The 25,141-nt window shown below is 39.9% G+C and overlaps 1 protein-coding gene and 1 long non-coding RNA gene across 21 annotated transcripts in view, besides 1 other annotated feature; one reads left to right on the top strand and one right to left on the bottom strand.

Annotated features, from left to right (window-relative positions):
- The window catches only part of NCKAP5 (NCK associated protein 5), a 1,003,049-nt gene that overhangs the window by 703,936 nt on the left and 273,972 nt on the right, over nucleotides 1-25,141 (top strand). For 19 of the 20 annotated variants that reach the window (XM_017003975.3, XM_011511100.4, XM_047444134.1 and 16 more), the window contains one exon: nucleotides 7,032-7,181. In XM_017003975.3, the coding sequence (XP_016859464.1) occupies nucleotides 7,032-7,181 (150 nt within the window). Of the gene's footprint in view, nucleotides 1-5,947; nucleotides 6,856-7,031; nucleotides 7,182-25,141 lie in introns of those variants that run through there. The other variant, XM_017003978.3, reaches the window with a different exon arrangement.
- Nucleotides 13,551-14,750: an enhancer, noted in NCBI's record as "MED14-independent group 3 enhancer chr2:133713724-133714923 (GRCh37/hg19 assembly coordinates)". NCBI's record gives its function as "activates an origin of replication core promoter dependent on BRD2, BRD4, P300/CBP and CDK7 cofactors, and independent of MED14, by STARR-seq in HCT116 cells {active_cell/tissue: HCT116}" and the evidence as "EXISTENCE:reporter gene assay evidence [ECO:0000049][PMID:35650434]".
- Nucleotides 18,314-25,034, bottom strand: LOC112268439 (uncharacterized). The gene is made up of 2 exons (XR_002959479.2): nucleotides 24,957-25,034; nucleotides 18,314-18,395 (listed from the first exon to the last, which is right to left on the bottom strand). It is a non-coding gene; the product is annotated as an uncharacterized LOC112268439 (long non-coding RNA).

Below are 25,141 nucleotides of genomic sequence, written 5' to 3'. Positions count from 1 at the left end.
GGGAAGGGTATAGACTGAGCAGCAGCTGGCCATCCATGAAGAGCCATGCTGTCCTCTCTTAGGACTAACCAAGCTTCCTGGGCTGTCATCTGAGTTCACTTGATGCGTTCCAGAACTTTGTGTTGATTGATGTTATTTTACATAGGCCTGATGATGTTGACTGCTTGAGAACAAAAGGTGAGTGCTCTGCCAAAGGTGAATCATTACCCTAGATACCACTTAGGGAAACTTACAGCTCTAAGGATTGCTTTATGTAGCGACAAGGTGAAATTTAATATAAACCCTTCGATGCAAACTGAGCTCCTAAATCTTTAGCTTTCTGAGTTCTAGCTGGTATTTGTTGAGGTAAACAAGCTTATGGTCTCAATCATATATGAAATATGTGGGGAGTGAAAGTTGTTTGTATGGTAGCTTCACTTTTATAGAATTCACTCTTGATTAAACTCCATAAAAATGAAAACAGGTCACCTCTAGAATCAACTTATTCTCTTCAACTTTGACATCCTCATGAGTGGGCCTGGCTAATTTTTCTTATTTCCTTTTTGGAGGTTCGTAAGACAAATACACAGTATTTAGCACTACACATTTTTGACCTCTCTGTCTGATATCCTTTTTGCTGTGTATATCTCAGATTCTTAATTGGCAAAGGACCTAAAATTTGTGATATTTTTTCTGATTAAAATAAGTTATTTATTTTTGGATAGAACCCATACACTTGATTTTTTAAAAAATACTGTCGTGTTTTTATGAGTGTAGGATAAATCCAACTGCTAGTCTATCTAAAATGGACTATGGTGATCTGTGGATAGGGTATAGCCACGTTTCTCTCCGCTCTCTCAGGTCTTTCCTCTACCTCTGTCTCCACCTATTTGTTTCTTTTGCTCATTCACTTACTCTAAATACGTCCCTTCCATTTTCTCTCTTTCTCAATGTTACCTTATATTCTAATGCTCTCACTGGTAAATGATTAAGAAACAAAAGATTAATCTTAAATGATTAAGAAACAAGAGAGAACCCCACCTTCTGGATTTGCATCAGGGCATTTTGTCATGTAGAGCACAGGCAAGTATGCCTTTAGGTCAGTGACTAGTCTGTGAGCAGCATGCGGATGTGGCTTTTGGTCCTGGGTGGCGTTACATCAGAGCAGCTTTAAACTCTCTTTGTCACGAGCACATCAGCAGTACCTGCACCCCAGGACCATTCAAAGTGGCCCTGCGACTTCCAGCTGCAAGGATCTGTGTCAGAGAGCACTTTTACTTGAGAACTACACAGAGCCTCACTGCCTCCAGCAGGCTAGAAGAGCCAGGAAATGAATGCCTCAAGAGCTGGCCTCAACTAATGACTCCTCCAGGGTTGGGACACCAACACCTCAGCTCTCTCACCCTGGGGTCAGATAATTCTTCCTTTCCTTGAGTCACTTCCCTACCTCCCTACTGGTGTTTCCTGCATCTCCCAAATGAGCTGCTTGTACTCAATTCCTTGTTCTCTAAGAATTCAGGCTAGACACTAATGATTTAGAAATGCTAACTGAGAAATTAAACTGTAAGTGATATTTTACAGGGGGATGGGCGCAGTATGGATCATGCCTGTAATCCAGCACTTTGGGAGGCTGAGGTGGGTGGATTACCTGAGGTCAGGAGTTACAGACCAGCCTGGCTAACATAATGAAACCCCATCTCTACTAAAAACACAAAAATCAGCCTGGTGTGGTGGCACCTGCCTGTAATCCCAGCTACTCGGGAGGCTGAGACAGGAGAATCGCCTGTACCCAGGAGGCGGAGGTTGCAGTGAGCCGAGATTGCACCACTGCACCCCAGCCTGGGCAACAGAGGGAGACTCCATCTCAAAATAAATAAGTAAATAAGTCAGTGATATTTTACAGGGAGCTGCATTTTCCAAACCTTGGCTCCTCTATCAGTGCCCTTCATCCCCTGCCTTCTTGGCTTTAGAAATCTCTTCGTACATTCCCACCTTTGCTACTCTCTCTGGTGCTCCCTCTTCTTTTTAGTTCTTCAGACAACCTCATTTTTTTCTATCTTGAAAAAGGTTTCCACTTGCCTCCACAATGCCCTTCAGCTACAGTTCTTTAGATTTCCTTCCCTGCCAAACTTTCAAATGAGCATCTGAGAAAATTGCCTCTATTTTCTCCCTTTTTACTTTTTGCTTAACCACTGACAATTTGGGTACCATTGTCACACTTTAGTCAAACAGCTCTCAAGTTCCCACTAACAACCTTCTTATTACAAAATGTAGAGGTGCTTTTTTCTGTTCTCTTGTCATTTCTGCTACCACTGAGTGCCTTGACAACGTTTTCTTTCTGAAAACTGTATCTTAATTGAATTCTTAGAACTTTAACACTGGAAGAGACATTGAGTCCAACTCCTCACCTTATCTCTGGGGGAAACTGAGGCCTAAAAAGTTGGAATGATTTTCCCAGAAAGTTCCAAAGTTGTAAAATCTAAGCACTGAATTCAGGGCATCTGACCCATCATCTGTGGTAGTTTCTGAACCACCGTAAAAACTGCTTTTGGTAAGTCCTGATTCAATCCCTTCAAAATATTCCTGATTTTTATTTCCTTCTGTATAAAGACTTTCCAACTAGTCTCCTAGCTCCTTCCTTCCACAGCCCATTCTCCATTGCAGCAGTCAGGATGATGTTTCTAAAATGTAAATCAGAACCTACCACTCCCCTACGTCTAGACTTCAGTTCCTCTTTAGTGCACTTAGAATAAAATCCAAACTTCTTCCTATGCCTAGAAAGACCCTCTATGGTCCAGCTCTCTTTCTGATCTCATTTCCTGCTAGCCTTCCTCTTTTAGACACTATGCTCCACCACAGACCCTCCCTCAGCTGGCCAGCAAGGCAGGCCTGGCCCTGCCACGAGTATTTGCCTTGCTAGTCCTTCTGCTGGGAATGCTCTTCCCCAAACCACTGCACAGCTACTTCCTCCTCATCATTTGGCCTTTGCTGTAATGGCCACCTCCTCACTCAGCCTCACTCTGTTGTTAGCACATCTAACATTGCCCCTAACCACACCACTCTCTATCAGATGATATTATTTTCTTCATAGCATTTACCACCAGCTACTAATACCTTATATTACTTACAGATTTGATTTGGAGTTTGTCATGTTTACCAACATTAGAATATAATTTCATGGAATATAGGAACTTTGTCTTGTTTTCCATACTCCATTAGCTAGATCAGCAAATGGCCAGTAATCCATGTTTAACAAAACATTTGTTGGATGAACAAATGAGTGAATTGTATCTGAATTTTTGTCTCATTTCCAAGCATCCTCTCCCCCTCCTTTTCTCCCCAATCCTATTATTCAACTATTCTCTCAAAAAGCTTTTCTCTATTATAATCAAACTGATTTCCTTATAAACCTGTAAGGACAAAACTTACTCTTGACTAGGAGCCTTTTAAAATTTTCTCTTTCACCAAACACCGACCCTATGCCTCTCTAACTATTTAAGTTGTATCACTGTGTTAGAGTATGAGTCACATTCAGTTTCCATAGAATCATGTCTCACAGCTTTCATTGATTGCCCTTTCTTCAAATTATGTAAAGTGACCCTGACGTTTTATGTAATCTAAATACTGATACATAATCCATATTGTCTTTAATTATTTCTACATCATAATACTTGGGCACTGTATCTAGGTACTTTAAGAGTGTGTGTATGTGTGTGTGTATGTGTGTGTGTGTGTGTGTGTGTGTGTGTGTGTGTGTGTACGATAGGGCAGTGGCTCCTCATTATTTGCAGATTCTGCATTTGCAAATTTTCTACTCACAAAAATGTATTTGCAACCCAAAAATCCATACTTGTGTCACTTTTGTGGTCATTCGTGAACATACATGGAATGGTGAAAAATTAGTCACCCAAGGTTCACGTTACTAGCTGAGATGGAGCAAGGCAGCACTGACTGTGCCTTGTTGTTTTAGCTTTCATGCAATAAACTAGTATCCTGTTTGTGGTCTATTTAGTGATATGCTTTTTGTATTTTGTGCTTTTTGTTGGTGATTTCACTGTTTGACATGGCCCTGAGTGTAGTGCTTAAGTGCTGTCTGGTGTTCCTAACCACATGCAGGCTGTGATGCGCCCTACAGATAAAATACATGTGTGTCGGATAAGCTTCCTTCAGGATGAGTTACAGTGCTGTTGGCTGTTAGGTCAGTGTGAATGAATCAACAGTATATGTTAAATGTAAGGTGTCTTTAAATAGAAATACACATAAAACAAGATTATATAATGGCTGGTTAATGAAAATGTGACCAGAGGCTCACAGGAACCTAACTCTGTATGTCCCCTAGGAACAATAATTTCACATTTCCTAAGTTGGTGTACTGTTCATGAAAATTTTAGAGAACATAACCATTGTGAATGACACGAATTCACTATATGGTATGTGAGTGTATATATGTTGACATTAGCCTCATTTAGGAGTTTAGGAGACAAAGACATCAAGACTTATTGAAATTAAAAAGTTTGTCCAAGGCTAGGTGTGGTGGCTTAGGCCTGTAATCCCAGCACTTTCGGAGGCTGAGGAGGGTGGATCACCTGAGGTCAGGAGTTCGAGACCAGCCTGGCTAACCTGGTGAAACCCTGCCTCTACTAAAAATACAAAAATTAGCTGGCCATGGTGGTAGGTGCCTGTAATCCCAGCTACTCAGGAGGCTGAGGCAGGAGAATTGCTTGAACCTGGGAGGTGGAGGTTGCAGTGAGCTGAGATCGCACCACTGCACTCCAGCCTGGGTAACAGAGCGAGTCTCCATTTCCAAAAATAAAGGAAGTTTGTGTAAGATCATTTGCCAAACTGCTAAATAAATGTTAGACCTGAAATCTGGCTGTCACATTCCAAAGTCTTTTGGCTTTTCATTTACCACCCCAATGGCTTTTCTTTGTTTTAATTAGCTATTGGGCTCTGATTATTACAGGATACTTCTACAGATACACACACACACACACACACACACACACACACACACACAAAGAGTCATGTACCTTATAAAGATGTGTGATGGTGGTCTCGTAAGATTATACCATGTTTTTACTGTACCTTTTTTATGTTTAGATATGTTTAGATACACAAATACTTGCCATTGTGTTACAGTTGCCTACAGTATTCAGTACAGTAACATGGTATATAGGATTCTAACCTAGGTACCATATAGCCTGGGTGTGTAGTAGGCTGTACCATCTAGGTTTGTGTAAATACACTCTATGATGTTTACACAATGATGAAATCTCCTAAGGAATGTGTGACTGTGTATATGTGTATGTGTATGTGTGGATATATGTATGTGTGCATATATACATATGTATATGTATAAAATATAAGTGGCATATGCTGAGTGATGAATGAAAAACTATATACAGAAAAGTAAAATGAAGATAATTTTAAAACAGCTTGCTTCATCAACCTAAGTTAGTGTTTACTTACAGTCATCCCAAACCACAAAAGAGAAGTAAAGGTACTTCTTTGTTTAGGAACAGTATCTACAAACTTCATATTCCTTATCTTGGAAATGTAAGTCTGACAGGTGACCAAACCCTAAAAAATCAAAGCTATAAAAATGCTACCATGACCTGGACTTGTTTCCTGGCCTGTGGATGTACATCTTAAACTTGCCTGGCATTTATCTGAGCTGAACTCACACCTGCACATGGTATACAGTTACACATGCTTGGGCCTGATTTCATAAAGAACTACAACCTTTCTAATCAACTATGCATTTATATATACAGAGATGACAGGAGAAATTAGATCCTGAAATCTGTACATAACAGGTTCACATGGATGAATTCACTGACTTTGTGGTCTAAAGTGATTTATATATACACACACGTATACACTGATACATATATATGTATAAATGTATACATATACATTAAGACATATTTTTACATAATTCATAATTTGTTTTCAAAAAGTAACTTAAATATTTTTGGAACCTTCAAAGTACCTTGATGAGCACAGTTTGAAAACGCCGTGGTTTTTTTTTTCTTCTTATGTTCTTCTTTTCTAAGTAGATTGTATGAGCTCCTTGAGGGTAAGAATGATACGTTTTGTGCTTCTGTATTTGCAAATAGATCTTAGTTTAGTATTAAAATATAGAGAAGTCTTTTACCACTGATAATCCAGTTTTGTTCAGATGGTTGACAACCAGCTACATTAAAGCAAAGATTTCTGCAGCATTGTGTTTAGAATTAAATAGTGTAATGGAAGGATGTCACCTGATTGTGGGGAGCAAGAGTCTCCATGCACAAAATGGATCCTTTTTTTTTTAATATGGTAATCTCTTGATACTTCTTTTTCCCTTGAAAACAAGAGCTATTCATGAGGCTTAACTTAGTACTTCTCAACTTTCAAAAAGCTTCCAGAGACAAGGTTGAGTGAGGGGCTTCCAACAGTGAGTCAAGACAAAATAACTTTTTATGTCTGCCTCAAGGCCATAGTACGAATGCTGAACAGTGTTACAGAAAGGGACTGAGGGATCCTTAAAAGTTGTGTCATTATTGAGCTGAAAGAACTAATAGGTGTGAGCTTTGAATTCTGAAATCACTCTTATTTCAGTATTTTGTGATATTTTATATTCTTTTAATTAAATGGCTGCATGTCCAGTGACTTTAATGACCCTATCTTGAGGAGCTATGCCTTTCACAAATGAAGGTATCAAAATTGATGTATTTTTCCACAGTTTGCAGTATAGCTGAGTTTCATTGTGCAGATAAAATTGGATTAACCACATGACTCCACCTATGGCTTTGCTGGCTTAGTCACTTCTCCAACTGTGCAAAGGACAACTGCATTGAGAGATGGCAACCCAATGGCCTTGTCCTTCCAGGGGTCAGTAAAAATATCTACTTCATTTTTTAAAATAAACCCCTCTCAGAATTTGTTTAGCAAACTCCCAGCCCCGGAAGAATGCACACGCAGGAGAATGATTCCAGCCTTTTCAGCCTCACACTCATGCTTATTTTTCACTGGAGATTATTGAAAACAGTAATTCTTTCTTGCTTCAGGAAAAGCTGTCAGAGGAAGAGAGAAAACATAAGGAAGCTTTGGAAGATCTTCACATGGTGGTTGATGAGGATTCGAGGAGTGAAAGCAGCAGTACAGATGAGGGAAAAGAAAAGACCAAATTGCTATTAGAGAGATTGAAAGCTCTAGAGGTAAGAAATGAAGCAATTTTTACACTCTTCAAGAAAAATAACAGTATTCTGCTTCTTTTATTGGCACTGGTTTTGAGTGAGTATAAATCTTCCCTTTTGAGTTCTCCCAGACTAATATGATCTACGATTTCCTGCTGAGATTTGTCTACAATGAGCAAAAAGTTAGCACTGAAAGGGTCTTGACCTAATGTTGTTTTAAAAGGAGTACATAGGGCAGTAATTGATTTTAACTTAAATTCAGCCCTCAAACTGGATTAGTTCCTAAAATTGCAAGCTCCTTGGGGGAAGAGGCTATGTGATATTTTACTTTGTTTTCCCCAGTAACTGGTAAAATGAATGAATGAATGAATGACTAAGCAAAATATTTAATAGTATGTAAAGATGATTGGACACACACACACAGAGATTTTATAAGCAGTATAGTCATATCTTTAAAAAAAACGTGCAGGAATTAAATGTGTAAAGCATCTAACAGTGAGCTGAAACTGGCTAAGGAGACTTAAGGAGATTTTTGGAGCACTGACATCCTCCAGAGACCTCCAGACCGGGATATGATAACACCCGTCTGTTACTTCGTGGCATTCGACATTATTTCAAGTGTTAATTCATGAATTTTTATAGCAGTCATCAAAGACCATTCTAGTTACTAGTTCTTGATTGAAATGTCACATGCTTAAAGACTCAGCAAAGATTTTTTTTTTCTATGAGTTCACTTACGTCCTTTCGATAAGCTTATAAAGGGCCTTCACCCAACATCTAAAAACGCAGTTCTACCATAGAGTCTACAGAATCCTGAAAACTCTACTAGCATAAAGGAAGAAGAGCTGGAGGCTGGGCACGGTGGCTCACGCCTGTAATCCCAGAACTTTAGGAGGCCGAGGCAGGCGGATCACGAGGTCAGGAGATGGAGACCATCCTGGCTAACAAGGTGAAACCCCGTCTCTACTAAAAATACAAAAAAATTAGCCAGGCGTGGTGGCACGTGCCTGTAGTCCCAGTTACTCAGGAGGCTGAGGCAGGAGAATGGCGTGAACCTGGGAGGCGGAGCTTGCAGTGAGCCAAGATTGCGCCACTGCACTCCAGCCTGGGTGACAGACTCAAAAAAACAAACAAACAAACAAACAAAAAAACAAAAAGACCTGGAGGGGCCTTGTTTTCTATGCTTGCTTTCTGCAATTCTACCTCAGATCTACCACATTGTCTATAATGAGCATATCCATTTTACACTAATTTCCTCGGTGATAATAAAGCAGAATGGTGAGATTATGCACTTTGAAGCTCAATTCTTGGGGTTTGATTTGAATCCCTGTTCGACTACTTTCTAGATTTGAAACCATCAAAGTTACTTAGGCTCCCCATGCCTCTGTTCCCTCAGCTGAAAGCATGGGGATAGTAATAGTAATTAGCCTTACAGGGAAGTAACGAGGATTACGTGTGTAATTATTTTTAAAATGATGCCTGGTGCATAGTCTCTTTCATTCATCCACACCAAACCTGCTCCTTTTCCTTAATTTTGTTCCTACTTACCTGGGCACAGTGATTAACAATATAAGGACTGTGAATGAAAGAGTTGGGCTACTCCACACAGGTGTGACCGAAGGCAGACAGGTAAGCAAGTAGCTTCAAACACAGAGCAGAACAAATATCAACTAAAGGAATCGCTAGCAACTCCCTCTGGGCAAAGAGCTAGGAATCACCCTTGTCTCCCCAAGGGTTCTCATTCTTTCGTCATTTTTTAAAGATAGTCACTATAAAAGATAGGAAAGCTTTCTCAAGGGAAACTGAGGTTCCTATTTGAGTTTTAAGAAACTCATAACTTTATCTTGAGGTTGAATTAACTAGATTCACAATAGGAAAGAGCTGATATTATCATTTCTTACTCCCAGAGAACAGTGTACTTAAATTGTTAGTTTTTGTTTATGACTACAGAGAAAATTAATCTTAGTTCATGTTGTTGTTAGAGACAACATTGAAAAGTACATTTTATTTCATTAAGCTAAGAGGTCTTTAAAAAATGTATTTGGCAGCGAATGTTTCTTAAACTGTAGTGAGTAAAAGAGAAGCAGTATCTTTTTTCCTTCCACAGAGTTCTTTACACTTCAGGCAACAACTCTTGATTCCAGCATTAGTTGAATGCAATAGATGATATCTGTAAGTGCCATTAAGACCCACTATTTTAATTCATAAAACTATTTTATTTTTTAATTTTCCTATAGTCATAGTGTCACTGCTTGTTTCCTAAAATTCTTTGTTCAATATTAAATGAACTTTCTCCTTGCCTTCACATCTTACTATCTTCTACTTGAACAGGTAATAAGAAGATTATTTCATTTTATAATAAAGTATGTAAAATAAGAAATACAAATATATGTTTGTAAATATATATAAATATATCTTCTTATATATAGATGTCATTTTGTCATACATGTAATTCAATTTTCATATGAATTTTATATGCTACTTAATTTTTTTTATTTTAAAATATTTGCTCCATATTCTCAGTGTCTAGGATCTTTGCATGGGTTAAACATTATTGTAGGAAAATAGAGAACTGATTTTGACAGACTGCAGTCAGAGCTGGTCACAGACCCCATGTGGATTTTTATGCTTTAATGAAATGCTCCCCTGGAAGATTGCAGGGGAATTAATTATAATGTGTCAAAAATTACTTTGGAAAAATTTGATATACAACAAGATTTTAAAAAAACAAAGAATTTTTCTATTAGCATATTTTTGGAAGGCAGCTAGGCTCACCAATATACCACCAGCACCCCATCAGCGTATTTTTGAAATGACCATATTTGTATGCCCTAATCTCTTGGCCCCTGGTGTTGTGGATCACAGAAAGGAATGATTTTCAGGGTGGTGGACAGCAGTCTTCTTTAATTCCTGCTCCCCTAACAGGTTCTAAGAAGGTGTGGAAAATGAAATGCAGAGATGACTTCTATATTACGTTCTTGATTACTGTGACAGTAATATTCAAAAACAACTTGAGGAGCCCCTGACTTTGAAAATTAAGTTAATATTGTCTAAGCAAATCACCCTCCAGCTGCCACCCCTGTATTATTTATTCCCTCTTGTGACCATTTCTGGGGTAAGTTCCGACTCACATTCGTCAATCAATTCCTCTTTCTTCTCCACGCACCAACCTCTTATGAAACAGAGCCCCCTTTACTTGATTTTTCCAAAATCCAACCCTAGGAAGGATATGGGGTCATGGCAGAATATTCTGGAGGCTAAGGGCCTTCAACTCTGTCTTTTGATAGTTCTGTTTCCTCCCAGTCCTTTGGTTGCAGGGCGTTTCGCAGTAGCCTTTCTCCTCAGTTCCCAGATCCCGCCTTAGAACGTGGCCAGCTCTGTCCCACTTACTCTCCTCTCCCTCAGACACCTTCTCCCACAGCCAAGTTCTGTCTTTTAATTTGCAGAGCTGTCTAGGTCTCTGCATGCCATGTCATGGGCTCATTCCATATCATCCGCCTGCTCAGCAAAATATTGTGCTAATTAAGACCTTTACCTTCCTAAAAACGCCTCCAGGGCCAACAGTCAAAATTATAAAAATTATAATTATACACACTCTCTCTCTTTCTCTTTTTAGCCTGATTTTCTCTACTGAGTACGTTGGTTTCAGCTGTTGCCAGCTTTTCATGGTGAAGAGTAGACCGTTTACCCTCACTACCCAGCCACTGCTTCCCCTGGGCTTCAATTGTAATTTGTGTTTAGGGTCCTGGTGCCTGGAGGAGAAATCACTTGGTGTATATTGGTGTCATAGGGCACACATGGACAATCTGGATGCCACTTGCACATTTTATGTAACTTCTCAGTGCCTGACTGTAGCATTTTCTATGTATTTTAAAAGTTTGGGTTTTCAAGGCTGCTGTTTCAGAGACTGTTTATTTGACTTAGAACAAAGCTCACCATTCTCAACAGCACTGCCATGTCTCAGGTCCCTTCTACGAAAGGATCACTCCTTTCTGCCACCCCACCAGAAGCCACTGATTCAAGGGATCTTCCCAGACCTGCCCTCCAGGATCCACTGGCTTCATCTGGAGTCTTCCCTGTTCCCTACTCCTGGGCATTTGCCCCACTCAGGCCCCAGATTTGCTCATGGCATGTTCCTTGAAAGACATGATTTGTTTGTCTGCAGGCCCCACTCCTGACACTCCCACGTGGCCCTTCTCTCCACTCAGGGACCAACTGCACACCTGACTAAAAGTGAAGCTGGATGTTCCCTTGGCTCACTCCCAACTCCCATGGCATCTCTGATACTCAGCTTCTAGCCAGGGGGAGAACAGGCCCGCCACCACCTGAGAGTCCTAAGCCTAAAAGCATGTGCTGATGACTTAGCTAGATAGCCTCAAGGTTGAAAGAACTTGGCCGCTTCTAGGAATGATTTATTTTGTGCAGAAAAATATGGCAATTAAATGTGTTAAGGTGAATAACAGCTTTTTCTACTCAATTATACCTTTCCATGAAATGATGACAATTACAGTGCTGTGCATAAGCATTTTGTTAATCATTAATTCCTATTTAAAATTAGGTAGTTCAAAATAGACAAACCTGGCTGTGCATCACAATTACCTGTAGAACTGGTAGTCGATAGATATATATTAATATTAAATATATTAATAATATATTTATTAATATATTATTAATATATTTATATATAAATAATATAATATTTAATAATAGTAAATATATTAAATATCTTCTATGGGCCAAACGTGTTCTTTGCACAGGGATTAGATCAGTTTTTTTGGTCCCCACCCCAGTGGGCAGACACAGGAAGCATATACTTAAATGAAATAATAAATAAGCAAACAGGCAACTATATGCCTGTAAATAAGAAAAGTTTATTGAGGTAGTAGCAGAGAGAATGTGAGCTAGGGGTAGGAGAGGTATTTACTTGAGAAGACCTCTGACATCAGCCATTTGTGTGTAATATAAAAAATAAAAAGGAGACAGCAGTGTGAAGATCAGAGGAAGAACATTGCAAGAGGAGGCAGCTGCAAAGGTGAAAGGCCACCTGAAGATGCTGGAAAGCTTGGCAAGTCCAAGGAACAGAAATAAGAAGTCTGTCCTGGGACACAAGGTACAAGATTTAAAAAATGGAAGAAGATGAGTTCACAGAGGTAGACAAGGGCCAGACCTGGTTAAGCCATATAGGCCATGGTCACAATAAAGACTCTGAAAATGATATAAATGTAAAAGGAAGCCATTTAGAGAATTTTAAACTGGGAAGAAGCAATGATGTAACTTCTCATTTATAAAGACAAATCCTTCTGCTTTGTGGGCTAATAGTGGGACATAGGAGGGGCAGGGAGACCAGGTAGAAGGTATTTTTTGTTGTTGTTTTTAGATTCAAACAAACAATATTAGTAGACTAGTCTAGGGTAGGTGCCTAGGACTAATAGGGAATGATAATCATACCATATTAATGTTATTGGACTAGAGGGATGTAATGGGAATAATAATAACCATGTTGGCAAGCCTTCCTATAAGGCTTAGTATATCCCAAACACTGTTCTGATTACCATTTATGTTTATATATGCTATTTTCATGTTCGTAACCCTGTGGGTTATGGTAGTATGGGGACTAGCGGGAGCCCTTGGCTGCCTAGAGGTTCACAGAAAATCATTGACATAAGGCCAACTGATTGGTAGGAGAAAAGGCATACACATTTATTTTCAATGTGTATACATAGGAGCCTTCAGAACGGGGACTCAAAGACACAGGAGAAATTGTCCATTTTTATGCTTAGGTTCAGCGGAGTATAGAGAGCCGTGTAGAAAGATGACTGTACAAAAAAAGAGTATGATCTAATGGTAATAGACTGAGTGTGGAAACCCTGTGAGGCCTGCCTGTCTAGATTCTTCTTGGCCTCTGCTTGCAGCATTCCTTCCTTCTGGGTGTGGGGCAAAACCTCTTCTAGAATAGGGGTCTTATGACCTATAGCAAACAAGACAGGTCAGATAATTTCCTTATGGTCAGATTTTACATAGAAAAGCAGAAGGAAAATTAGAGTAATATTTTTTAGGTTTTATGTCTAGCTTTCTGGTTTCTTTGACCTGCCTTGGGGAAGAGGGATTCTAGTTTCTATGACTAGACTAGGGGAAAATGAAGCTGGGAGACAGGAGGACAAGATCAGAGAAAAACTTTGGCTTCTGAGGCTTTCATTTGGGGATATTTTTTCTGAGCCCCAACAGTAGTTAGCACTATTATCCCCATTTTACAGATGAGGAAAGTGAGCCCCAGAAGGTTGGAAATTTTGCCCAAGGTCATGTAGTCAGTGAGAGAGTCAGAATTTGAACTCCCAATGTATAGCTCCACTATACTATGCTAGTAAGAAATAGCCAGATAATATATTTCAGAAGTAAGGTCTATTAGGAATTACGGATCCATTGGATGTGGAATACAAGGAAAAAAGTGAGAAGGATAACTTCTAGTTCTTTGGTTTTAGCAACTGAGTGTGAGGTTGTACCAAATTCCTGAGAGAGGCAAGCCTTGGAGGAAAGGTGACTTAGCAAAATTAGCATGCAATTGTCTGTTGGTTTTTGCCCGCGTTAAGTTGAGATGCCTATTAAGCATTCAAGTGATGATGTTCTATGGGCAGGTGGAAATACAAAGTTCAGGTCAGGGCTAGAGATATGGATTTGAGAGTCATCAGCATACAGATGACACTCGGCCTTGTGGGACTAATTAAGGTCCCATCAGAAGTAACTGTAAATGGACAAGAAGAGGGCAGAGGACAGAGTTCTAAGGTTCCCCATTTTTCGAGGTCTGGCAGAGGAAGAGGAGCCAGCATCTGAGCCTGGGGAGAGTGTCTGGTGTGGTAGGAGGAAAATGGAAGGTGAAGTGTTGTAGCAGCCTAAAGAAGAAAGTGCTCCAAGGGTATCCTTGTTGAGTGCTGCTAAGAGCACCAGCAAGATGGATCACAGAATCCATCCTCGGCTCTGGCAAGGCATGGTCAGCTATGACCTCGGTAACAACAGTTTCTGATGGGAGTGGGCGTGGAGGAAAACATGTGGAGACATGTATAGACAGGCCTGAAGTGGGTCAGACATGGAGAGAGTCAAAACTGAAGAGAAATAGGGTACAAGAGAAACTCTTCAAAAGGCAGCTGATGGTATGGCACATTCGTGTGCCAATGGCCGTGTTCTAGTGGAGAGGGCGAAATCGATGATGCGGGAGAGAGAAGTATGAATGCAAGAATGAGATCTGCAAGCAGGCTAGGGAGATGAAACCACAGAAGAAATAGAGCTTTTTAAAAACTCAGATGTCTAGAATGTAACCCAGGAAATCCCAGCTCTTTTAAGTCTACAATGGAAACTGACCATCTGTATTTTTCTGAAACTCTGTGGATTATTCAGATGCACAGCCAGGATTGAGAACCACAGAAACCACTTTTAGAGTGACATTTAAAGCTATCAAAACAACTTAGGTCCAGTTCTGTACTAAACCCAACAAGCTTTCACTGGTCATTTTAAAAATTGTAAATTGGTAATTTATAATTAGATACATTTATGGCATGCAGAGTGATGTTATGATTGATAATACAACATGTAATAATTACATCAAGCTAGTTAACATATCCATCACCTCATACTTAACATTTTTTGTGGTGAGAACATTTGAAATGGACTCTTAGCAATTTTGAGATGTGTAATACTCTATTATCAACAGATTTTGTACCCTTTGACCACCCTGTCTGCATTCTCACACCCCCATAGCCTCTGTAACCAACATTCTACTCTCTGCTTTCATTGATCTTATTTATGTGGCCAACAAACATTTGAAAAAAAGCTCACCATCACTGATCATTAGAGAAACGCAAATCAAAACCACAATGAGATGTCAATTCAAGCCAGTTAGAATGTTGATCATTAAAAAGTCAGGAAACAACAGATGCTGGCAAGGATGTGGAGAAATAGGAATACCTTTACACTGTTTTTGGGAGTGTAAATTAGTTCAATCATTGTGGAAGACAGTGTGGCGATTCCTCAAGGATCTAGAAGCAGAAATACCATTTGACCCAGCAATCTCATTACTGGATATATACCCAAAGGATTATAAATCATGCTACTATAAAGACACATGCACATGTATGTTTACTACAGCACTATTTACAATAGTAAAGACTTGGAACCAACCCAAATGCCCATCAATGATAAACTGGATAAAGAAAATGTGGCACATATACACCATAGAATACTATGCAGCCATAAAAAAGAATGAATTCATGTCCTTTCAGAGATGGATGAAGCTGATCTTAACCACCTTGTAATCTAACCTTTCTGCGCCCCTGCCTCCTCTTAAGTAGAACTTTCCCTGGGTCTTCAGACTTAGATCCAGAGGCCCTTCCCACATGTGCCCAGTGCCACAAGCTTTGAAGCCTGGGGAAAGGTCATCATCCAAAGTGCTCTTCAGTGGCTTCATGCCACCTTTGAGGGCTCCCCTGACATGGCCACGGATATGTCCAAGTTTGGCTTTGTCTCCTTGCCAGTGAGAGGAACGGGCTATTTTCTTTCCCTTTCTAATTGGCTTTAAGTTCTTACCTTGTTCTTCTTACTTTTATCCTCTCCTATCTTAAGACAATGTAAAAGAAATTAAGGCAACGTGCCAGTGGTATTCTGAATAGAAATTCATAATTGTTTCCTTCTAATCTTTAGATTCTATGACAGTTTGCTGACAGGTAACACCAGACATCCCTGTCTTAAAGTATCTGGCATTTATCTTTCTCTTGATTGTTTTACATCCAACTGTGGGTCACCTAGCAACATCACTAAGCTAGGATTTGAGACAAAAACTATTCTTTGGTAAAGGGGCTTGAAGTTTTTAGAAAAATTCCATTCTATGTCATTATGTAACTTTGTACTAGCAGTTTTCTGATTATAAAAGTAGTAAATAGTCACATTACAGAAAATTGGAAAAATCATAAGAAAATAATTGTAATTACACTAATCAGAAATGGCTGGAATTGGCATTTCAGCATATATATTTCTAGTCTTTTTGTTATTATTGTACCTAATCAAATTAGGATATATGAAATATCACTGTATACAGTTAAGTAGCCTGTTTCTCCACATTATTCAATACTTTTCAAAAATATGATGCAGTGGCTATGTAGAAATTTATTCAATGGATACTGAGTGCCATTTATTTAATCCTCACTGTTGGCTGCTTACCTTGTTCACAGTATTTCAATATTATAATGTTCTTATGAGCATCCTGGTGCCTAAGTCTTTATACATACATATTGTGATAGAATATTTAAAGCATACCATTATCTTTTAAAGCAGTCATGTCCATAGACAGTTAGATTTCTTATTTAAGAACCAAAATCAAGAATCCCAGAAATGAAGCTGATGGAGGCAGCACAGTTAGGCAAAGAGCACCCAACCCACATGCTCCAAGGGGCCACCATTGTCACTCAGTATAGGATACAATATTGAGAGGGTCCGTGGGCTGCTGAAACAATTTCAAAGACCTAAAATCTTGGGAAAACTTTATACTGTGGGAAATCTTAGTATTCCTTCAAGGTATTCTATTTGTGATTACTCTTTCAGTTGCAAGTCATAGAGACACTACTCAAACTGACTTAACTAAAAGGAAGGATGGCTATATAACTGGACAATCAGCTGTAACAAGACATGGATGAATGCAAGGGTTCAGACAATGTCAGAAAGCTTTCTCCAACTCTCAGTTCTGCTTTCATTTGAGCTAGTTCCTCTCTCAGGCAGGCCTTTTCTATGTGATGGCACCAAATCAGCAGCACCGTGAAAAGGCCATGTCTCTTTCCTAGTCATCCCATCAAAGCTCCTACAGTCCAGAGAGAGGGATCTCATTGGCTTGACTTCAGTTGTAGGCCCACCTCTTGGCCTCTGGAGGGTGGAGCATTTCAACCAGCAGTTCCATCAATTCCATCAAAGATTTGGCAAAATTCTTGTGTTTTAGTTATTTAAATGTCAGAATTACTTTAATACCACCCAGAAAGAATGTTACTGCTTATTTTTTTTTTCCCCTTCTGTGGCATATTATCTTTCTTTTTCTCTTCTCTCTCTCTCTCTCTGTCTGCCTGTCTGTCTTCTCTCTAGCACACCTTCCTCTCCCTCCTTTGGCATTTCTAGGCCTGGCCTCCTGCTGGATGCTGGAATTACAAAGAGATACAGAGCATCTTTTCTGCCCTTGAGATACTCACATTGTTGGAAAGAAGACAAAAATATAATAATTAAAAATATACTAATTAATTAAGGTAATAAAAATAAAGCACATTAAAATTTTAGAAAAATGTAAGGTGTGTACAAGGCTCAGTGGAGCACCAAGACAGAAGTATCTAACTGAATTAGTTTTGGAGGAAGCAAAGAGATAAAGAAGTTGCACTTGAACTGTGAGTCTTTGAGGCTTTATGCCAGTTCTCCAGGCAAAGATGGTAAAATGAAGAGCAGAGGGAATTGCCTAGACAAAAGCAGAAAAGCCTGAAACAGCCTCAAGGAGCCCTCAGAACATGGGCCTGTCAAGGGCCAGGGCACCTATGGCCAGAGATGAGGCCAAGTGGCTCGGCCTGTTTATATGTGCAAGTGCCATTTATTTAATCCTCACTGTTGGTTACTTAGCTTGTTCACACTCTTTGGATAGATAGGTAGTACATGGAACTACCTATCTATCCAACACATCAGTATGAAGAGCTAACAACATCTATGTTTAAAACTCATGCAGTTGCCTCAGCAAGCCTCTAATCAGTTTAGAGGTGTTCTTAACTAATAGCCCCTTCACTTTCCACAGTGAAGCTCCTCGTGGTGCTTCAATCCATCTGTAGAGCATCAAATCACATGCCCAAACAAACACGCCAAGTGGCGCTGCAAACCATCCTGAGCTATGGAGAGAATATTTATGACTTTAAAGTGAATGCCCCCAGTGACTTCAGAAGAAACGCCTTTGGAGTGTAGAAAAATACGTGCATTCCATAAATTGAAGTTCTACCATCATCAAAAGCCTTTGATCAGTGCTCGTTTTCTTGTGGCCTGTCTCTCACTATTGATGTGAGGAAGCTGAACTTGTCTGCAATTTAGGTTTCTCAGTAATAGGCAGCCGAAGATTCCTCTTACCTTGGGTTTTATTAGCATCTCCATTGCTGTTTTACAGCAGCCCTTTTGGCCTTCCAACTCCTGGAAGCTTGTTCAATCAAGACATAACCTTTTATCAGTTATGACCAACTGCTGAGAGAAAGAAAAAAACATTCTTAGTGTGAGGTAAGCCAAGGAGTGGGGGGGGTCTGTGACTGCCCTGCATTGCCAGGGCCAGATTTAGGTAGAAGCTTATTAGAAATACCTTAGATGATAGAAAAAGCCAATATGTCAAGAATTAATCTGCATAAATATGTTACTTTGCATGGCTCAGATTTGTGTGGGAGCTTCTAAGAAAACCCCAGATCTCAGAGAAGGCCAATGCATCAAGGACTAATCTCCATAAATATTCTAAGAGCTATCAAAGAAGAAAAATGAACTATAGGGGCAACATTAAATGTTCCCAGAGATAATTAGAACAAAGTGTTGTTAATTGTGTGTTGGTTTAATGTTATGTAGCCATGGCCTTGTTTTTTTTCACAGAGCATAAATTTTGATGTCAGAAACTGAAAGCTGGCTGGCTTGATTCATCTAAAGGATTCAGTTTGCTTAGTTATAGCCAATTAAGCATTTTAATCCTTACTCTACAAAGTAAGTTAAAGCCTAGTATATCATGAGTAGAAGTGGAAAACAAAACCCCAAATCTTGTTTGTTTGTTTTTTTGTTTAGTGAGTCCCTGGGTTGTTTTAGATGTGATGCTTCAAAGTAACTTACTGAAGTGTCATGAATAAAAATTACACAAGTTGTGATTCAAAAAGCAGTATGATTGATGAGCAGTCCCCAGAACAGAACCACAGCATTCTATTAACTCTAATAGTTTGCCAGGAGAAAATGTTACATAGCCTTGGGGGAAAAATTGTGGCTCTAGAATGGGGTCCAGAAAAATGCCCTTGTTATATAGGTATTGGCTTGACTTGCTGAGTCAGGAACACGATCACCCTGAAACTATGAAATGCTGTAAAATATCCACGTAGTCTGATTTCTGATAGCAACCTTTTGAGGGTGATCTAATTCATTAGCATTCAAATGAGCTCCAACCCTAGAGCCTCACTACAAAGGGAGTGGGAAATATGCAGTTTTACTTTATAACCAAAGCAGTGTGACCCAAGTCCGATAAAGGACCAGAGATTTAAGATGTGGATGTGGGAGGAGAGATTATAAACACCAGCTGTCATGGTGTAAGAGTCTCTACAGTCTTAGTTTTGGTAATTACTCCTGTTTCAGAAATATCTGAAATACATCTTTAATTTATGAATTGAACTTTCTAGATTTAAACATCCTTGGCTGCTTAATAGCATTTTTGCCTTTGGAATTGGAACGCCTTAGTTACAGCACACCCAGGGCAGGCTCAGCCTCCCTTTCAGAGTCAGTAAGTGCTGCTGCTCAGCTGTCACGGTGGACAGGGGCTCCTCTAGAAAGCAGGTTCGACTGTGTTTCTAAAGAAGATACAGCTTGTAACACGTGTCCGTGGTTTGTTTTGAGAGAACAGCATCTCAACCCAGCAAAGTAAAGAAGACATATTTTTAAGAACAGAGCAAGGAACATGAGCAGTTGGAAATTTTGCATCATTTTTCCCAAGATAGAGTCTTTTCCCTTACCTTTGTCTCATTTGTAATCATATCCACAAGACCTTTCTTAGAAACAGGAAAAATACCTTTTCCTGTGACATCATTTTTTTTTCTGTTTCTGTTTTGTTTTGCTTTGTTTTGTTTTTTGCTTCTTAGGTTCCTGGGGCCAAGTCAAATTGGTTTTGGTAATCTCATAAAATACTAAGATGATCAGGAATTCATTTAGAGGAGACTGCCTCCCATACAGTGTAGTAGCTTGGGGGAGGTAACTCTGTAGGTAATTCCAGCTTAAAATGAGAAGCAACTGCAGGCAAACAGCATATGATGTGCAGGTGTTTCTAAGTTCGTATGATAAAATGGGTTCCTTGGAAATCCAAATCACCAAAAAATCTCCCTGCAGTCTAGTTTTATGAGAGAAAGACAAATAAGAAAACAAACAGCCTTTTTCCTTTTTCCCCAAAAGTGGTGTCGGGGTATTTCCTGAGATGAATGTAAATTCTTGAATGCACATCCCATTTATGACCTTACCCCATCCTCAGTGTCTGAAAACTGATCCCAGGGGCCTCATTGCAAAGGTATAAGAGCTTCATGGATCATCACATGGAATCTAAGCCATGCTCATCGCCATGTAATTATTACAATAGATTTAATAATCATATATTGAAGAATAATAATGATATTATAACATTTATGTAATATTGAAACCTCTTGATGCCAGCCAGATATAAATTCAGTAAATTCACTGATAATATTTTCTTGGAGAAAAATATAAAAAGACATTTATCTGATCATCTTATGTGGATCTTGAACTAGTTCAGTTCACAATTTTAAAACGGAGACTTTTTCAAAAATATTTTTAGTAAGATACAATCTAGGAGTAAAGGTGTAGTGAACAGACTAAAGTAATTTCTTTTTCTTTTTCTTTTTTATTGTTTTTGAAAAGGAGTTTCACCCTGTCACCCAGGCTGGAGTGCAGTGGCATGATCTCGGCTCACTGCAACCTCCATCTCTCAGTTTCCAGCGATTCTCCTGCCTCAGCCTCTCGAGTAGATGGGATTACAGGTGCCCACCACTATGCCTGGCTAATTTTTGTATTTTTGGTAGAGATGGAGTTTCACTATGTTAGCCAGGCTGGTGTCGAACTCCTGACCTCAAGTGATCTGTCCGCCATGGCCTCCCAAAGTGCTGGGATTACAGGCATGAGTGACTGCGCCCAGCCTAAACGTTAATGTATTTATTCCATGTTCACCTGTTACAAAATGACAGTTTTCAATGAGGTATCAGAATGGACTTTTTTTTTAGCGACACATGGTTTGGGAGCCATGTTTTTAAATATAGCTTTTACTTTATGTAGGTATGGCAAAGCCAGTAGCTTAGGAGATGAGGGCTACTGAAAAGATAGTTCTTATTCTCACAGGTTTCAGAAGGAGGGGGATGCCATGCCCTGAGGGGGCTTCAAGGTGAAGCTCAGGGTCTGTCTGGAGACAGAGGAAGGGGCAGAGGGGAAACTGCAGGCAGGAATCCTTACTGTGGTTTCTGTGGGAAGGAGCAGCAAGCAAGGCAGGGAGAACAGGTCTAGAGTTGGCAGTTTGAATGATTTCAGCAGGCTCTGGGGCACAGGGGCCCTTCATGTGAGAGTGAGAGAGAGCTGGTTGGAGGTGGTGTGGGCTCTGGGTTGGCTTGCATTTGCAAAATTTGCTCACGAGTGAGTTGTTCACTGTCTCTAGCAATTGGCCAACCTTGAAGGGACTGCCCCTCCAGAGTCAGCAAGGTCCCAGATGTCAAAGCCTCAGAATACGGAAATAAGGACGTGTTCATTGCAGACTGTGAGACCTAAATGACATTTTATTCCTAGGCTTCTGGATGATTTCCTTCATCACTGGCCCCCAGGCCTCACCAGTTCACCAGCTTCTTTGCTTCTTCTTATCCCTGGATGGGGCAGGGTGGGGGGTGGGTCTTGTCCTTCTTCCTCACCATGTTTCTTTTCTTTTCTTTTCTTTTCTTTTCTTTTCTTTTCTTTTCTTTTCATTTCTCTGGATCTTTGTTGCTTCTGAGTTACTGTACCAAAAGTTCACAGGCCTCTTTGAATTTACTTGAATTTTTCTTTCCTTCCACAGAACAAATCAGTCATAGTGAATCAGCCAAACACCATGTATTAATCTTTTGGTGTTTTAGGCTTTAGACCTGATTTACTTGTGTCCATGGGCTGCTACCTACCTGCCAAAGTGGAGGTGTGGGGAAAAGGCAAGAGAAGGGGTGGAGCGCTGTACCTGGCTCTGTAGTCATCTCAGAAGCCGGGGCTTCCACGAGGCCTTGTTCCCATTGGCCAAGATTTCCTTCTGTACTGGTGCATTTCATCTCTGGCATTGAATTAAGGGGCTTGGAGGGTGGTGCTATTTCTTTCATACAGCCTCTCCTTTGGGGCTCTCCAAGAGCTTGTTACCATTTGCCATTCCACCTTTTGGACTCAAATTAGGGCCCCAAACCTTTGCTCTGAATGGCCGATTTCTGTTTTCTCTAACTGCCTGTCAGCCGCTGCTGGTTCTCTGCCTCCCTGCCTGTGCCCCTTCGCTCGCTGCAGGCTGTGCTTCAGGGAGTCCTTAAAGCAATTCCTCTGCACTCTCAGCAGGCAACAGTCCCTTTTAACTTCTCTCTGCAACTAGTTGGGTACCTGCTGCCAGCTGTTCTCTGCACATAACCAACTGAGATGAATCACGTTGCAATGAGCTGCAAATCCACATATAGCCAAGCTTCCCCCCCTAACCAGCCATTCATAAAGGGGCCCACTTTTCCCTTGAAGCCCCGCTTGTACCACTGCACCAGGAAGAGTACAGAGAAAGGGTACATCGATAGAAAATAGTAAATGAAGTGGGATCTATTTTGGCTAGATAAAAAAAACTGTCATCATTACCGTTTATTGTTATCTAAGTCTGCCCACAGAAACTTTTCACAGTTCCCCTCTCTTCCCTGTATTCCCTTGAGCATCCAAGAGGCATCTGTGAGGATGCTGAGAAGTTGGTTCAGAGAAAGACTTCGCAATCCCCCATTCATCTCAGGTCAGGGTGAGTTGAGTTTGGGTAGTAAGTTTGTGTATCTCAGCACTGGGGTTAATTTCATAGCAGAAGGTATATAGTAATCCTTCCCGAAGAATAAGAGGCAATTCTCATAAGACTTCATGAGTTACCTGGGGCAGGTGACAATGAAACCAGCAAAGGAATGCTCTATCGTGAAATCTCCCGAAGTGAAATCTTGTGAATTCTTCATTTCCCATATCTGGGAATTAAGCTTTAAAAGAAAACAAGTGTCCTCTCTACGGTGGGCTCCTGGAGGGCTGAGACAGTGAGCCACATTTCACCTTGAATTCCTATTGGACAGAGCTCGCTGGGTTGAATTGTAACATTTGTTTTAATTTCCCAGGCAGTAGATTTCACATACAAATAGAAAGGTTTAAAACAAGCAGAGGGGCCCTGCTAAAGGGATGATAAGCCAAGATAATTGTCATGGAATTAATCTCTTTTCCATTCTTTAGCTGCAGGGAATTGTGTACTATCTGCTGAAGGAATCACTTTATTTTAAAATTACACTTTATTATTAATACTGATAAACCAAGAAGTGACAAAGCCCAGGATAGACTCACTTATTTTACTTTATTGCTAGTTTCCATTTACTCTATCAGTACATAAATTAGCATATCTTATTTTTAAATCAGCTATACTATTCAAAGCCATTTAATGACCTTTATGAAGAGTTAACTAATCTACAGGATGTCTTCTTAACTTTTTTTAGTACCCAAAATAAAAACTTTTCAAAAAATTTTCATATTAACAACCTGAAAGTTTATCGTTCTTATAGTCCTCCTATTTGATTTATAAGTCACAGCATGTTTAATTTTCTTCAAGGATTGCCACCTGTATTTGAATGCACATTGAGCATATGACAAATAAGAAACTATTCAAAACAACCCTGATCCTCTAAATAGAAATGACATATCCCTGTGAGACTGAATTTTTTATATGTATGTTTAAGAAACACCACAACTTTTTTCATCCATTTTGATCTAATGTTTTATAACTCTCACTTTTCAAAAATACATCCTGTAATAATTTGGCTTCATATACAAACTTTTTTATTTTGAGACAAGGTCTAGCTCTGTTGCTCAGGCTGGAGTGCGGTGGCGCCATCTCGGCTCACTGCAACTTCCACCTCCCAGGCTCAAGTGATCCTCTCACCTCAGCCTCTTGAGTAGCTGGGACTACAGGCACAAGCCACCACACCTAGCGAATTGTTGTATTTTTTTATAGAGACAGGGTTTCGTCATGTTGCCTAGGCTGGCCTTGAACTTCTGAGCTCAAGTGATCCACCCCCCTCGGCTTCCCAAAGTACTAGGATTACCGGTGTGAGCCACAGCACCCAACCCATATATAAACTTATGAAGGTGATAAAACATTCATGAAGTGGAGTTCACTTTTTTTGTTAAGTTTTCATTTCCTTGTCAGCTTTTCAACAGAGAAATTAAGATGTTTTTGGGACATGTAGGGGCAGTGAGAGTATAGTCAACGCTATTAGAAAGATAAATAGTTTTTTGAGGGCCGCTGTCACCTATAGGTTTATAAATTCCAAAGACCAGCAAAACATTGTCATTACTCATTACCACTGAATTGAATCTGGATCTTCACCCTAAAGATGGCTCTAGATACAGTATCAATTGCCTGTTTTCCTCTGGGTGCCTTAGAAGGTCACTCATATTGGCTCTACCAGAGGACAGCCTCTTTCTCAAAGAATATCTTATGGAACCTCATCTCCTGACGCTTTTGCTGCAGCAGACTTGGAAATTGATTACCAGGCAACCTGAGGGGGGATCACATGGCCAACCTCCCTTCCCCTCCTTTCTGATTCTGACATCATCTATAATTCTTCCATTTCACTTATTTCCTCTATGTTTAGCTACATCCACCTCCCTGTCCAAGAGTTCTGTATTAAAATGCAAATCTCTTGTGATAAATATCACACGAATATGAATTTCCTGACAAAGGAAAATGGGACTTGCCTTTACCAATTATAGCCAGAAGAAGTAGAGAGAGCTTACTGTTTTGATGCTGGACATCACCTTAGTGTTTTGACATTTTCGTAATACTGAGGCAGCATGGTAGAAATGAGTAAAGAGTTTGAATCCTTCAGCCCTGGGTTCAACTCCTGGTCCTCTCACTAAGTTTGGGGATGTACTTCTGGGTTTCAATCTCACATCTAAAAGATGGAAGCAATAATACATAT

Source organism: Homo sapiens, chromosome 2 (assembly GCF_000001405.40).
Source record: "Homo sapiens chromosome 2, GRCh38.p14 Primary Assembly".
Classification (NCBI taxonomy): Eukaryota; Metazoa; Chordata; class Mammalia; order Primates; family Hominidae; genus Homo; species Homo sapiens.
This window is presented reverse-complemented; position numbering and strand designations above follow the sequence as displayed.